The 17,517-nt window shown below is 38.8% G+C and overlaps 1 long non-coding RNA gene across 1 annotated transcript in view; it reads right to left on the bottom strand.

The window, feature by feature from the left end:
- Window positions 1–17,517, bottom strand: part of TEX41 (testis expressed 41) — a 408,763-nt gene that overhangs the window by 103,834 nt on the left and 287,412 nt on the right. The window lies entirely within an intron of this gene.

Genomic DNA, 17,517 nt, shown 5'->3' with positions numbered 1-17,517 from the left:
GTGCATAATAAGTATTCAGGACTGTGCTAGGCATTATGGCAATTAAAAACAGATGTAGATATCACAATGTGAAACGGTAACAGACATGGGCACAAAAGTAAAAGGACATACAGACACATGTGCAACTTTATCTTGAGCAAATACTATGTTTTTGAAGGTACAAAGACTCACAGGACACAGGATTTTGTATATTACTGATGGATGCAGTGTGAATTGTGGATGCTGCATACTTAAACTTGGTTGAGCCAACTTAAAACAACAACAACAACACATTCTTTCCAGGTATGGGGGAATGATTTGGTGGGAGTGGGGGCAGTGGTGATTTTCCAGAGTTCTTCAAATGATGGGGGAGGTACAGGGTGGAATACTGGAAAGGAAGACAGGTAGAAAGTGCAGTCTGAAGGAAGATGCAGGCGGGAGTTAGAGTGTATTGAACAAAGTGGGTGGTGAGGAAGTCTGCCTGTTAAGAAGTGGAGGAGGCATTTATTATAAGCAAAGGATATGTCAAAATTACCCTTTTTAAATAGCTGAATTAATGTTTAAACTCATAAAGGATCCAATTTACTGAAAATTATTGAGTCCCTTATGGAAAACCAATAGTGATTACAACTTAAAGAGCTGTTGTTCTACAGCCTGGGACTTATATGCCATATGTGTTTATCTTTTTCACTAGCCTACTTCCATGCGATACTACTACAGCAGCTTTCAAGATGAACATTTGACAAGCCAGCTCACCGCCGACTGACACCTCCATTTCAGCTGGCCTGACATATATAGAAAGAAACTGAATGTTTATTCGTGTGCTTTCCGGATTTGACATATGTGCTATATAAGAGTCACAGAAGGAAACTTCAGAAAAGAAATTAGGAGTGTACTTGTCAGTTTATTAATCAAAGTTTACCTGCTTCACATTACACAGAGACAAATTAAGCTGGCTACTATGGTGCTTCAAAAACATCTGCTAACAAAGTCAGAAGTAATGATAAACAAACGAGTTCCCTTTGTGGTTGATTTTGATCCAGCTGCATTTAATTATAATAGCACTATCAAAGAAAGCTCCCCATTAGCTGCTAATTCAGAATGACTTCAGAAGAAACTCCCAAAGCCTCCAGTGATATTCCTCCAACTCCAAAAACTTCCTAATCTCTGCCAATGTTTATGGAGAGCCATATTAAAGAACTTTGGTTATCAGTCCTAACTCATGGACTGCCAAAGTGGTATTTGTTGTTTTTTTCTAAAGACCACCTTTGTAATAATGTGACCAATTAAATTTTTTAAATGACAAAATTTATAACTTTAGAATTAGATAATAAAATGCTTCAAAAAGGTAAGGAGAAGTCTTATTTTAATGCATAGTACAAATAAAATGCAAGCCCAGTCATGTAATTCATCAGTTTACATTCACCATAGCTAGACATAAAGTGGCACTCGATTTTTCAAATTCAGGCTGATTAGTTTTCAAATAAACAAATAACCGAAGCCTCTTGGAAGAAAACTCTTTCCACCCAACTCAATAATGAATCACTATAAATCATCCTTTTGATTGATCAGCACTGGTTCTTACAAATTCCCAGGTATATATTTTTCCATTGACAGTCTCAACACCTCCATAACATTGTGTAGCACCTCCTTTTTCTCATGCTCTCTCAAATGGAAATATGAATGATTCCTCTCTCAAATTTGGCTTCTACCTGGCCAGGAAGCAAACATGAAATCAAAAGCTCACATGTGCAAATCTTACTTAGCTGTATGTGTGCCTTTGCTGAACCAACCTGGGAGCGCACGACACCTCTTTTATTTGTCTTTGGGTGAGCTGATGAGATGCAAGTTAAAGGGGAGATGTATAACCTGGAAAAGTATGTATGTTAATTTGGTACTAAACTCTGTATTAAAGGACAACAAACCAACAAGCCAAAAGTAGAGAAGTTTCACTAAGACAATAATGAATGCACAGTCACCCAGATTGAGAACGGTAAGCATTTTCCAGTATTGGATCTGACCAACCTCTGAGGACCCATCTCATAATATATTTTCCCAGCATCTACATGAAATAAGTTCACGTAGATGTTGGGAGAGACACATGAGATTGGAGTGATATGGTTTGGCTCTGTGTCCCCACCCAAATCTCATCTTGAATTATACTCCCATAATTTCCATGTGTTGTGGGAGGGTCCTGGTGGGAGATAATGGAATAATGGGAGCAGTTTCTCCCATACTGTTCTCATGGTAGTGAGTAAGTCTCACGAGATCTGATGGTTTTATTAGAGGACACCCCTTTCACTTGGCACTCATTCTCTCTCTTTGCCTGCTGCCATCCATGTAAGACATGACTTGCTCCTCCTTGCCTTCTGCCATGATCATGATGCCTCCCTAGCCATGTGAAACTTTAAGTCCATTAAACCTACTTTTATTCCCAGTCTCAAGTATGTCTTTATCAGCAGCATGAAAATGGACTAATATAGCAAATTGGTACCAGTAGAGTAGGGCACTGCTGAAAAGATACTCGAAAATGTGGAAGCAACTTTGGAACTAGGTAGCAGGCAGGGGTTGGAACAGTTTGGAGGGCTCAGAAGAAGACAGGAAAATATGGGAAAGTTTGGAACTTCCTAGAGACTTATTGAATGGCTTTGCCCAAAAATGCTGACAGCAATATGGACAATGAGGTCCAGGCTGAGGTGGTCTCAGATGGAGATGAGGAACTTGCTGGGAACTGGAGCAAAGGTGACTCTTGTTATGTTTCAGCAAAGAAACTGGTGACATTTTGCCCCTGCCCTAGAGATTTGTGGAATTTTGAACCTGAGAGAGATGATTTAGGGTATCTGGCAGAAGAAATTTCTAAGCAGCAAAGTATTCAAGGAGTGACTTGGGTGCTGTTAAAGGCATTCAGTTTTATAAGAGAAGAAGAGCATAAAAGTTTGGAAAATTTGCAGCCTGACAATGTGATAGAAAAGAAAATCCAATTTTCTGAGGAGAAATTCAACTGGCTGCAGAAATTTGCATAAGTAACAAGGAGCCAAATGTTAATCCCCAAGACAATGGGGAAAATGTCTCCAGGGCATGTCAGAGGCCATCATGGCAGCCCCTCTCATCATAGGCCCAGAGCCCTAGGAGGAACAAATGGTTTCATGGGCCAGGCCCAGGGTCCCTGTGCTGTTTGCAGCCTAGGGACTTGGTGTCCTGTGTCCCAGTCGCTCCAGCTGTGGCTGAAGGGGGTCAACATAGAGCTCAGGCTGTGGCTTCAGAAGGTACAAGCCCCAAGCCTTGGCAGCTTCCATGTGGTGTTGAGCCTGTGTGTGCACAGAAGTCAACAACTGGGGTTTGGGAACCTCCACCTAGATTTCAGAGGTTGTATGGAAACACCTGGATGCCCAAGCAGATGTTTGCTGCAGGGGTGGGGCCCTCATGGAGAACCTCTGATAGAGGAGTGCAGAAGGGAAATGTGGGCTTGGAGCTCCCACACAGAGTCCCTACTGGGGCACCACCTAGTGGAGCTGTGACAAGAGGGCCACCATCTTCCTTACCCCAGAATGGTAGATCCACTAACTGCTTGCACTGTATGCCTGAAAAAGCCATGGACACTCAATGCCAGCCTGTGAAAGCAGCTGGGAGGAAGCTGTACCCTGCAAAGCCACAGGAGCCGAGCTGCCCAAGACCATGGGAACCTACGTCTTGCATCAGCATGTCCCGGATGTGAGACATGGAGTCAAAGGAGATCATTTTGGAGCTTTAAGATTTGACTGCCCTGCTGGATTTTGGACTTGCATGGGGCCCTGTAGCCCCTTTGTTTTGGGTAATTTCTCCCATTTGGAATGGCTGTATTTATCCAAAGTCCGTACCCCCATTATATCTAGGAAGTAACTAACTTGCTTTTGTTTTTACAGGCTCATAGGCAAAAGGGACTTGCCTTGTCTCATATGAGACTTTGAACTGTGGACTTTTGAGATAATGCTAAAATGAGTTAAGACTTTGGGAGACTATTGAGAAGGCATGACTGTGTTTTGAAATGTGAGGAAATTAGATTTGGAAGGGGCCGGGGCAAAATGAAACGGTTTGGCTCTATGTCCCCACCAAATCTCGAATTCTACTCCCATAATTCCCATGTGTTGTGGGAGGGATCCAATGAGAGATAATTGAATCATGGGGGCAGTTTCTCCCATAATGTTCGAGTGGTAGGTAGCGAATAAGTCTCAGGAGATCTGATGGTTTTATAGGGGGAAACCCCTTTCACTTGGCACTCATCCTGTCTCTTTCCCTGCTGCTCCATGTAAGATGTGACTTGCTCCTGCTTGCCTTACACCATGATTGTGAAGCCTCCTCAGCTATGAGGAACTGTAAGTCCATTAAACCTCTTTCTTTTGTAAATTGTCCAGTCTCAGGTATGTCTTTATCAGCAGCATGAAAACAGACTAATACAGGGAGAATGAGAGAAGCTTTTGCCTACTGAAAATATTCGTATCTCTGAAAGGTTTTGTTTATGTTTGTTCCTCTCTTTGTTTTTCAAGGAAGAACAAAATATGTCTAGATGAAACTAATTTTTTAGCTTCCTGACTTCTATTCTCAATCCTCAAGGAGACAGGCATGTTTACGAGGGCTGCTCAACTTGTCATAAGGGAAAATATAAGTAGAAGAAGATACCATTGCTTTTAGGCATGTTTTGTGCAAACTTACTTTCAGTGATCCATCAGGGTGAGCATATGACATCAATTTCACCCTTGGCACAAAGATCAAATGATGTTGCAAATGGTGTTATTTTTCTGTTTATGATAATACTTGTGATGACTTGAACACCCTCCTCCAATTGGCTTGAGAACAAGTATTATTCTTCTGTGTTTGGTTTCATAAAGCTGGGATCTGTCGTGTTTGAAAAATAACATGAAGGAAGAAGCATGGTCTTTGGTGGTAGTCAATCAAAACTGAGGATTTTCCAAATGGTTGCTTTGGGAGAAGTGCATTAATGTCCATGTTCATTCTTCTGCTCTAAAGATTCTAAAATTCTTCTCCTTGAGAGCCTGAGCAAATGGAGGCATGGGCCATCTTTTCAAATAAGACTTTTACTCACATTATTTGCCCTTTCTTTTGAATAACTAGGTGTTTTACAGTGGAACAAACATTTTGGAGCATGAAAGGCCCTGTGTAAAAATCTTATTACATTCCAGTACAAAAGTTCTTGAGAGTAAGCTAGGAGGTCACTTCAGTTTCTCTAATGAACCCCAGTGTCTTAACTTTAAATAGTATTTGCTCATTTTCTCCTCTACATTGTAGATCTACACACAGTTGTTGGCTGTTCTTATAGCTTATATGAATCCCTGAGAATGCATATATACTCATAAGGCTTATATGTTTCCATTTTTAAACACTAAGTCTCTAAGGTTTCAGCATTATATAAATATATAGCCAAAAGGAAAAGAAAAGTTTATAAAATCCTCAGGAAGTTTCAGCAGGCAAAATGAACCCTGGAATGTAAGGTAGTATAGTTATTTACAAATCCAGGATGGTGAATGGGCCAGCTTATACCCTGAACCTTTCCATGCCTTGGTTTCTACATCTTTAGACCAGGAATTACACTTGCCTTAATCTTCTTCTTTAAAAAAAAAAAAAAATCATTAACTGAGAAAATTCATTGAGAAGTATATTTTCCTCTCTGCAGGTAAGAAAATTTCCATTGCAAAATACAGAATCCAAATACTTTTTTACATTGCAATTCTCTACAACCATTTGGGAAAAATGTTTACTGATTTTAAAAATAATTGAAGCCCACTCATCTAGTTCAATACTTTCATTTTCCAGGAAAAAAAGAAAACTCAAAGAAGTTACGGACTTGCCTAAATTCAACACTCATAAGATTAGAACATGAAAAAGACTAGTATGTCTTCTACCTGCAAGTTCAATACTATCTGTTTTGTGGTAGTTCCAAAAGAAAAAATGATAATTTTTTATGTATAATCCCATCAATTATTTTATTACTACCCATCATCTTATCTTCCCCTAACTGTTGGACACATCAAATATTCTGCTCCTCTTGTAAACTATTTTTTTGGCTTCACAGAATTCCACGTCTTTCTAGTCAAGACTTTTGTAGATGTCACAAAATCATAAGGTTGTAAGTTTGTCTCAGAAAGTAGAGATCAATTTATTTAATTGATTTGGCATGCTGCTTATCACATCAATATGTAAATGTGATTGCTTAAAAAATACCACTTATTGATGTTGACTTCATCTGCAACTTCCTTTGCAACTTAAAAATCAGGCTTGTATTAGTCCTTTCTTTTGCTGCTAACAAAGACATAACTGAGACTGAGTAATTTATAAAGGAAAGGGATTTAATTGACTCACAGTCCAGCATGGCTGGGAAGGCCTCAGAAAACTTACAATTATGGCAGAAGGGGAAGCAAACATGTCTTTCTTCACATGGTAGCAGGAAGGAGAAGAATGAGTAAAAGGGGGAAAAGCCCCTTATAAAACCATCAGATTGCCTAAGAACTCACTCACTATCATGAGAACAGCATGGAGGTAACCACCCACATGACTCAATTACCTCCCACCAGGTCTCATCCATGACACATGGGGATTATGGGAACTACAATTCAAGTTGAGATTTGGGTGGGGACACAAAGGCTAACCATATCATTCCACCCCGGCCCCTCCCAAATCTCATGTCCTCACATTTCAAAACATAATCATGCCTTTCCAACGTCCTCCAAAGTCTTAATTCATTCCAGCATTAACTCAAAGTCCAAGTCCAAAGTCTCATCTAAGACAAGGCAAGTCCCTTTTGCCTATGAGCCTGTAAAATCAAAAGCAAGTTGGTTACATCCTAGATACAATGGGAGTACAGGCACGGGGTAAATACACCTGTTTTAAATGGGAGAAATTGGCCAAAAAAGGGAGGCTACAGGCCCCATGCAAGAAATGCAACAAGGCAGTAATCTTAAAGCTGCAAAATAATATTCCTTGACTCCATGTCTCACATCCAGGTTATGTTGCTGTAAGAAGTGGGCACCCACAGCATTGGCCAGCTCAGCCCCTGTGGCTGTGGCTTTTCAGGGTACAGACCCCGTCCCAGCTGCTTTTGTGGGCTGGCATTGAGTGTGTATGGCTTTCCCAGGTGCATGGAGCAAACTATCGGTGGATCTACCATTCTGGGGTCTGGAGGACAGTGGCCCTCTTCTCACAGCTTCTCTAAGCAGTGTCCCAGGGGGGCTCTGTGTGGAGGTCTGTCCCCACATTTCCCTTCTGCACTGCCCTAGCAGAGGTTATCCATGAAGGGTCTGCCCCTAAAGCATACTTCTGTCTGGACATCCAGACATTTCCATACATCCTCTAAAATCTAGGCGAAGGTTTCCAAACATCAATTCTTAACTTCAATACCACATGAAAGCCGCCAAGACTTGGGGCTTGTTCTCTCTGAAGCAATGGCCTGAGCTGTATATTGGCCCCTTTTAGCCACAGCTGGAGCTGAAGCAGCTGGGATGCTCCAAAGGCTATGTAGAGCAGGGGGGCCCTCAGCCCAGCTCAGAAAACCATTTTTGCTTCCTGGGCCTCCAGGCCTGTGATGGGAGGGGCTGCCGTGAAAGCCTCTGACGTGCCCTGGAGACACTCCCCTCATTGTCTTTGTGATTAACATTTGGCTCCTTGTTACTTATGCAAATTGCTGCAGCAGGCTTGAATTTCTCCCAGAAAATGTGAATTTCTTTTCTATCACATGATCAGGCTGCAAATTTTCCAAACTTTTATGCTCTGCTTCCTCTTGAATGCTTTTCCACTTAGAAATGTCTTCTACCAGGTAACCTAAATCATCTCTCTAAAGTACAAAGTTCCACATATCTCTAGGGCAGGGGCAAAATGCCACCAGTCTCTGTATAGCAAGAGTGACCTTTATTCCGGTTCCCAAAAAGTTCCTTTTCTCCATCTGAGGCCACCTCAGCCTGGACTTTATTGTCCCTATCACTATTAGCATTTTGGTCAAAGCCATTTAACAAGTCTTTGGGAAGTTCCAAATTTTCTTACATCTTCCTGTCTCTGAACCCTCCAAGTCTCTAGGAAGTTTCAAACTTTCCCACGTTTCCTATCTTCTTCTGAGCCTTCCAAGCTGTTTCAACTTCTGCCTATTTCCCAGTTCCAAAGTTGCTTCCACACTCTAGGGTATCTTTACAGCAGCACCCCACTATCTGGTACCAATTTACTGAATTTGTCTGTTCTCACGCTGCTAATAAAGACATACTGAGACTGGGTAATTTGTAAAGGAAAGAGATTTAATTGACTCACAGTTCAGCCTGGCTGGGGCAGGTTCAGGAAACTTAAAAACATCCCAGAAGGGGAAGCAAACATGTCTTTCTTCACATGGCAGCAGGAAGGAGAAGAATGAGCAAAAGGGGAAAAGCCCTTTATAAATCCATCAGATCCCCTGAGAACTCACTCACTATCATGAGAACAGCATGGAGATAACCACCACAATGATTCAGTTATCTCCACCTAGTCCTGCCCTTGACACATGGGGATTATGGGAACTACAATTCAAGATAAGATTTTAGTGGGGACACAGCCAAACCTTATTAAGACTCAAATTTATTTTAAGTTGTGAATTTATTTTCACAGCAACATTCATCTAACAAATACTTCCTAAATATGTCCTGTGTATAAATAACTGATATCTTGCCTGATTTTCACATCCAGTATTGGTGGACATAGGGACACAATTATATGTAAGAGAAAATATCACCATTATATTGGAATCTAGGGGCAGGGAGATGATTTCCAGCTAGGTAGTACAGAAAGGGCAGGTAAGCATATCTTGTGAAGATGGTGGCTTTATAGGTATCCTAGCAGAATGGGTAGAATTTCAATGCCAGAAATAGAAAGAAGGTTTTCTAGGTGGTATCTAACATGGTTCAGAACAGTAAAGCCAGTTGGACTCAGTGTAAAATGTGCCTGAAACAGCGCTCCAATAACCAGAAATATCTCCATGACCTATCTCATGTCTTCTCTCTGAATTTCTGCCAGATCAATGTTCCCATTTCTTATCCTGTGCCCTCCAGTTAGACTCTGTCTCTGTCTCCTTTGGATTGACGCTTCCATTAGACTGCTTGCCAGGCTTTCAATTTTGGTTCCATCCACGAAAATAGTCTATTAGATCACCTGGAGTCTGGGCTCCTTGCCTGAAGGTCAGCTCAGTGCCATTCATGTCAGGCCCATGTTGCTCAGCCCCTCTGCCCAGATCCATATTCTTCAAACATTGTAGGAGAAAGAAGGACATGAGAAATAGACAAATGTATTTAGGAATGGTCCCAACGTGAACATTCTTTATTTTGTTGCATTAATTGGCTCATCTAATGTACTCTGCAATTCTTCCTTTCCCTGTTCTTTGAAGACAAATTCCACAGATTTTTTTATCCTCAGCATTTAAAATCTAGTCTAGAACAAAACATTAATTTCACATGAAAATTAAAGTATCTCCTCTTTTTCCATCTGAACCTTGGCTTGTGGCTTGGGTCCTGCAATGTGGAAGTGAGGCATGCTTTGCTTTACTTATTCCTTTTTCTTTCTTTTGCCCTGTCACTCCCTCTCTGCCTTTCTTTCTGCTATTCTGGGTTTCCCTTGGGTCTCAGCATTTTTGGGCTCTCAAAGGGGCTGGGGTGGGGTGAAAGTCTGTGTGGCAGTCATCCAAATGCTGATTCTGCACTTTTTATGGGCTCCTCAGAGGCCCCCATCTCCCGGAGGCTTTCTGAGATGGATGGTGCCTTCTACAGCTGACCTCTCCTCTCTCTCATCTCCCACCCCTGGCTGACTACTCAACAGTTTCTTAGGGGTGCAGTTCCCATGACACGGGAGGCTTCCAAGGCTTCCATTTGATCCACAAAACACTCACATATCTTTGTCATACAAAATGTGGATGTTGTAGGCTGTGCCACTACTACTGTGTCATCTTGCTCTGTGTCGCAGATGCTCCAGCTATTTCTCACTCAGAGAGAAGAGGGACCAGTCCCCATGTTTGCATAACTCCAAACGAACTCCTTGAGATATATGTGAAACTCTCCCTAGAGCTGTCCTGTCTTCTTCTACTCTGCTGTCTGGACCAGCATGGGGCTAATGAACTCCTATGGCTCAGTAAGATTTCCTCAGTATAGGAAGATGCCAGTCTTCCTTTTCAATACATACTCCAATGTATATGAATAATTCTCTGACAGTCCTTCTTGGTAGGCTTGAAAGGAGAGAGAAGAAAGAATGCAAAACACTCTCCCTCTATGCCTGCAGCTCACTCATTCAATGCATTCAAATATGTTCTAGTTTTCTGCTTACATCAGCTGGATGAGGTGGGGGAGCATGTCTTTTTATGGAATATAAGCCACCTGTTGCCTGTTCCCCTCAGCTTTGGATCTTCAGTCAAAATTCTGAAGCGTTGAGAGAAGTTCCATTCAGCACCATTTTACGATAATATTTGTATAGGAGGGTAGTGACAAAAAGGCTGTAGGGAGGTGCCAGTTTCTATGGAAATGGAATCTTATTTAAGAGGCTATGGGATAGAAACAAAGGTTTTTTGATTTAGCATTTTTGGCAATGCTAACATTTACATTCCAAAATTGTCTTCCATGCTTTACTTATAAGTCGATTCTTAAAGCTGAAAAGTAATTTTAAAAAAGTTTTGAAAATTATTTTGCTTTTTTATGAACTTGTTACATTGTTGTTTTTCACCAAATACTTGCAGTGCCTTTCTAGGCAGAAAGTAAAGTTGCATTTCTCTCCCACCTTGGAATTGACATGGCCATGTCAATTTCTTTGAATTACAAAATGAGAATGGAAGTAACATGTGGAAGCTTTAAGAGCCAGAGCAAGATAAGTAATGTGTTCTCCATATTTCTCCCTAACAAGACTGTTTCAGAGAATGGCTGTTCTCTCTTATCTGGGCCACCAGAGTGAGGACCACACAGAGCTGAGGCTCCATCAACTTTGGAAATCATATTCAGTGTGAGTGAGAAAGAAAACTTCTTTCCACCCTCTGAAATTTGGGGTGTATTTGTTACTATAGCATCACCTACCTCCTTACTAATACGAGTATATAAATATTTTACACTATAGAGCGAAGTAGTGCACTACAGTTAGTATTTTCTGTGTTTCTTAAACTTCTCTCCACTACCTACTGTCCTGTGCTGCTCACAGGAATTAGATTTCCTCTTTTATATTCTACTGACTACTTAAAAACATGCTGCAATTTGCCTGAATTTTCAGTTATACATCTTATACAATTAACGTCTTAACTGGAATTACCATCATGTCTTAATATCAATTACTGTCTGATAGAAATGTTGGTTTTCTTTAAGGAAGGTGATCTTTCTTTAAGAGACTGGTGGAGAGGCACAGCAGAAGTTGGACTCTTAAGTTCATAGATCTCACTTGTTATAGACGGGAACAAATCGAATAGAGGAATTTGCATTGGAATAAGTAATGGGCACCTACTTCCTTGAGAAGAGATTAAAAGAAAACAAACAAAAAGGATTCTGAAAGAAAAATGTTAATATCCAGGGAAAACCTCTGTTCAGCTAGAAGTAACCTCATTTCTTGTGAATCCTATAGATGAGAGCATAGTATAATAAAGGGTCCCCTTAATTCCCTGGATATTTACTGAGCTATCTTATTATGCTAGGGCCTATTGGTAATTAAATTGTGTCTAAGTCTGTCCTTCTCCAATAGAAGACAACATCTTCTAAAAGAGAATAAGTTGATAACACTTTAAGAGAAGTACATGTGCCTCCTAGGATTCAGTTCAAGTATGGGAGATGGACAACTTTTGCAGATTCGTATGATTAAAATAAAATGGTTTATAAAGAGAACACCATGAGGACCATGTAGCTTAGTGCTCCAACCAGAAGTGTCTATTTTTAAGCTGTCAGTGAATTTCAAAGCAACACACATTTCTTGAAATACTACTATGTGTAACTTGCTGCACTAGGCCTTGTTTCAAAATGTTTGTCATTTTCTCAAATACCACATGCTTCCCTACTCAGGAATTTAAGATAACTTCTTAATGCTTAAAAAACTTAAGCTTAGCCCTAAATACTGTGTATTAAATGACTGCTTCTTGCCTCTGTGTATTTAACTATTATTATTTCACCCATGTGCTCCTACACACTAACCAAAGCAAATTATAGTCCTTCCAAATTGTTTGATAAGCTCTACCTCTATGCTTCAACTGCTGCAGTCCTCTACTTACCCTCACCCAAATAAGGCCTCTTATTATTTTCTTTTTTCTCCGCTAATCTTGTCCTCTAATATACTTCGAAACTGTGTTGCAAATATATGTCTACTATCCCAGTAGACATATATTGCTATCCTAGTAGACATATATTTGCAACATAGTTTTGAAGTATTAATTAAGCAAGACATAATTAACTCCAAGCCAATTCTGATTACTCTTTGATTGTGGATTTCATGTTTACCTATAGAATTATTTAATTTCATTGCTATAAAAGGCCCACAGATGTATATATGCCCATGATTATCATTACTTGGGGAAAAATCAGGGTCAAAACCTAGTTTCCCTGGCTCTCCATTTGTTTCCGTGCTACCTGTACCTATATCATATTTCGTACTTTTGATTAACCATAGGCTTGATAGTTCTCTCAAGCTGACTTATAGTGTACTTATTTCCTCACATATAAAATAGTAATTTTAGATGCATTTTTAAATAATATTAATAAGAACTATCATTTATTAGGAAATGTATATTAATACACTTGCATCTCAATCCAATGAAATAGGTACTATTACAACCATCATTATAATTTTACATATTAAGTTTCTGAGACAGAAAAGACTTAAATAACTTTTTCAAGGTAGCATGGTGACTACCTGAGATTCAAGCCCAGGTAGTCAAGCTCCAAAGCTTACGATCATAATTACCTTCCTGTAGAGGGATGTTTTGTGCACAAATAAACCAGAATTTATACACCCAAATGAGTGTACACTCTTTCAAATCAGTCATCTTAGGATATTACACATTTATGCCAATGATCGGGTATTTTTCCAGAATATTTTTAGACCTGAGGTTCTGGAATTTACATGAGCATATCTAGAGCACTCTTTGAAATATTCACAACAAGAGCAAATCCTTTTCCTATGAAGACAATTTCTGTTTTGGAACCAGTCAAAAGTCAGTTATTGCAGGGCTAAGTAAGATGGCTAAGTAAATTTTGTAAAACCATATCCAATAAAAAGTTTACTGGAGATATAAAATAATTAGACTATTTTGTGGGGAGTGAGTCATAAGCTTTCCATACTAAGGCAACAGTTCCCAAAACATCTTGAGTTAACATCCCATAATGCCTAAATAGACTCCCATAGCAAACATTCCCTTCCTAAGCATTTCCTTTTTTTTCTTCCAGCAACATGCTCTGTTTTCTCTTAGGGACACCGAGCTTGATGTGATCTGAGTGAAGCTCTTGCTAGGACCATGTGATGGGCATGCGACCAAGCACTAAGTGACTGACGCACTCATTCGATGGCCACAGTGACTGGTTCAGAGATGGACACATGACTAAAGCTTGTCCAACCAGAGTGAATCAGCCTTGGTACTCTTGTAAGCACTTTCAGACAAGAGATGCTGTTTTCACAGAACACGGAATTGTGAGGTAGTGAGATTATGGCTGGAAGCACCAGCTTGCTGCAAAATGGAACCTGTACATGAAATCATAACACAGAGACTAGCAAGGGCTAAGTAAGGGATTAAGAGATAGTAGGTCCTAGAAATTGGTTTGAACACCCGGATCAAAATAAAACTTGAAGCCAAATGTACTCCGGACTTTTTGGTTATGAGAGTAAATGGATTCCACTCTGTCACTTGCAGAAAGAGTTTTACTCATGTACATCTCCAGGTGACTACATAAAAAGATACTACTGATTGACTTAGTCTCTATAGTCACTCTATAGTCACTCCTAGGGCCTACAATATCATTGCTATCTATAGTGGGAATTTATTGTACTCTTATGATAATGCATTTCTGGCAAAATTTTAGACTGAGACATTCTATTTTACCCAAATACCTGAAAACATCTGACTCAGATGAATTTAATACCTGTGTCATATCCATGCAGCACTGTTCCCTTTATTCTATTAAGAGTGAGAATAACATAAGTGGGGGAAGGGGCAGAAAGCAAAATTTTATTCAAATAGTTATTTCTCTGAATTTTACACTCCAGCAAATGAAGCTCACATACAGGGATAGAGTAGTAATGCCTTTTTAAAAAATCTCTAAATTTTTAAGTGAGAGTTGTAATCAGAATACTCAAATATCACAATTGTTCTTTCTGAAAATCAATTTATCTGGCTAATCTGAGACATGTTAAGCATTATAATCTGATACTGATTTCATGGGTATGATTGGAAAGTCACTCATGATCCAGACTGACCTTTTGTATCTTTCAAGATAGAATTATACACAATGAGTCACGTTAAAGTCATACAAATCCAAATTAAATTATATTAAATAATATAAAATAAACTGGAATTATTATATTATGTAAAATATAATCTAAAATGTCAAAATAGCCAATATCTGTCAAAAAAGGCTAGATATATCATCAAATTCTCCCCAAAATTTACCAAATGTATACAAATGTACTACTGTTTCTTATTCATACTTAACTTGCATAGATTTCATCACCACCATTAGTGAAGAAAATTGCTGTGCCCTTGATATTTAAGCTACATTAATGTTAATTTTTATGCATCCATTAGAGTTGCACTAACAGAGTTTTTTTTTTTTCTGAATTTGATGTCCATTCCTTAGAAAGAATGCATTGGAAATCGTAGCTTTCAAATAAGGGACACATTGTGACCAAGGAACAAACCAATTTAACATGAATGGTTTAAAATTATTCTAATAAGCCTGATACTCTTTTAAATTGAGAATCAATATATATATCAAAGTACAAAGCAATGAGTAGGATTCTCAGCAAAAATAGCCAACTGACATAAGCATTTCTCCAAGAAACATCATTTTTCTTGCCATCAATTATTACATTCTTCTCAAGTCAAAAAACACACCACAGGTAATTTTGAACACTTTAAATGAGTAGATTAGCTTTCCTGTTATAATTAAAGGCTTTTGCTTATAGCCTCTGTGTTAAGATTATCAAACAACAACAACTGTCTTGTTTTCTAAGATTCAGAATTTTCCAGTTATGCAATTTGGATGCCAGCATACCAAACCTCAATTCTAGCGGTGGGTCCTGATTAGCCTGAACCCAGTAGTATAACTGAAACCACTCTCCCTGCTTCCCACAGGTAGAGCTCAGAAGTCACTGGAACCCATCTCAGCCATTCAAGGATGCAGACTTCTCTGCTCCCAGTGACCTGTTACTGGGGGCAGGTGTCTTGCTTGATTCAATCGGAGTAAACTTAAGATTTTTGGCCAGACACAGTGGCTCACGCCTGTAATCCCAGCACTTTGGGAGGCTGAGGCGGGTGGATCATGAGGTCAGGAGTTGGAGACCAGCCTGGCCAACATGGAGAAACGCTGTCTCTACTAAACATACAAAAAATTAGTCAGGTGTGGTGGCACGCACCTGTAATGCCAGCTACTCAGGAAGCTGAGGCAGGAGAATTGCTTGTACCCGGGAGGCGGAGGTTGCAGTTAGCCGAGACCATGCCACTGCACACCAGCCTGGGTGACAGTGCGAGACTCCATCTCAAAAAATAAATAAATAAATAAAATAAAAAAGATTTTTGTTCAGTGTTTGGATATGAGAGACACTTCTTGCCCTGAATTAAAAAAAAAAAAAACTGGACTAGTATTTCCTTAATTACTATATCATGATAGGTTTTTCTAATGCTACACTGATTTGGATTTGGGTAGTATCTATATAGAAACGAGATAAGTGGAGATTTGCTACATTAATATGAATTTTAAAATACAGCCAAACTAAATAATTAAATCTGAGTAAAATTTTTTAAAAGTTTGTTCTCTACATTTCTGGAGGATGTATACACAGGTAACTAATCAAAGTATTAGTAAGAATCTCACTAAAACCTATAACCGTTACAAGATTAAAATCTTCTTTCATGTTCCAAATATTTAAATAAATAATTTGTTATATTTGTAAACAATCTCATATCTGCATTTAAGACAATAAAACCATATTCAACTAGGAAAACAGATACATGTTTGGTGTTGTCAATAGTCACAAGCTTTGTGAAGACCCCTGAAGTGTTGAAATAATACATGGATTCCAGTTCTACATTCCTTAAATGAAATTCTTGGATATCCTAGTGTGGCACCAAGTATTCAAAGATAAACATTTTTTGGATAGGCAAAGGTAGAAGTAAACAAAAAAATAAAGACATTGAGATATCTGTTAAACATTTGTTTGGTAATAGCAAAAATATTGGAAAGTATACAATTTCAAATGGACTGCTTTCAGTATCCTACCTTTTTTCCCACGTAGTGTGAAATATATCACTCATTGCAGATCAATAGTTTAAGTATCCTCTATTCTTTATGATTATTCAGCCACCTTTCTTATCACCTCCCATTTCAAAAAACACAAAACCCATTAACTTTTCTCCCAGATCCCTCATTTGTGGAATAATCTTTACTCTTGACAGACACCAACTACTTGGGAGTTTGTGTTAATAGGCACCTGACATCATTTTCACAAGTTTCTTTTGACACTACCTTTTAATCAACAGGATAGAGCCTGAATAAGCCTGTCGGATGTTTCAACAAAATAAAAAGGAATATATTATAAACCCACAAAAGTACATTGATTGTGTCTACAAAGATATGTAATTTAAAAAAGTATAAATCAAGGACTGCTATTTTATACTTGACTTCAGTTATTTTGAACACTTGTGGTCTAGTTGTGCTCATTGTTAAGGATATGATTTTATGTGTTTAGAGTAAATCTGCTGTAAGCAATTTTATAGTTTAATGAAAATAATTATAGTTTGAGCAGAATGAAGTGTATCTGATTCTACTTCCCCAAAATAAGCTGTGATATAAATTATCATGATTTATTATGGTTATTCTTGTGGTTATGTTTGGAGTGGATTCTAGCAAGTAATGATGATTCTAAATTGCAAAGAATAGCATTTTGAGCTATTTTTCCTCAGATCTCATCTCTAATTTTTCTATGAAACTGATACAATTTTCATTGTGGTACAGTATGTGCTACTGTGAAGACAGCATTATTGTACTGTCAGTTTGACAGCTTACCTTAATTTATACCATTTAGTGGAAAAAAATACAATTTTTAAATCTTTTTTAATACATCATATGCCACTATTGCTCTTCAATTTTTAGCCCATGAAGTAGCAATGCTGTGCTCTGATGCAAAATCCTGCATTTCCCTACTTAAACTGTTTACGGTGACTTCAACTGCAGTATTCTGTTTTGGTATGTTTTTAACTTCTTATCAAAAGCCAGAGTAATAGATATATATTTTTGACTGAAAGTATTTTCAGGCCTAGCCATAATTTCATTCACCTGAGAGCATTTGAATACACTTCTGAGGAAAAAAAAAAAA

This window comes from Homo sapiens, chromosome 2 (assembly GCF_000001405.40).
Source record: "Homo sapiens chromosome 2, GRCh38.p14 Primary Assembly".
Classification (NCBI taxonomy): domain Eukaryota; kingdom Metazoa; phylum Chordata; class Mammalia; order Primates; family Hominidae; genus Homo; species Homo sapiens.
The sequence above is the reverse complement of the archived record's forward strand: the minus strand, read 5'-3'. Positions and strand labels throughout refer to the sequence as shown.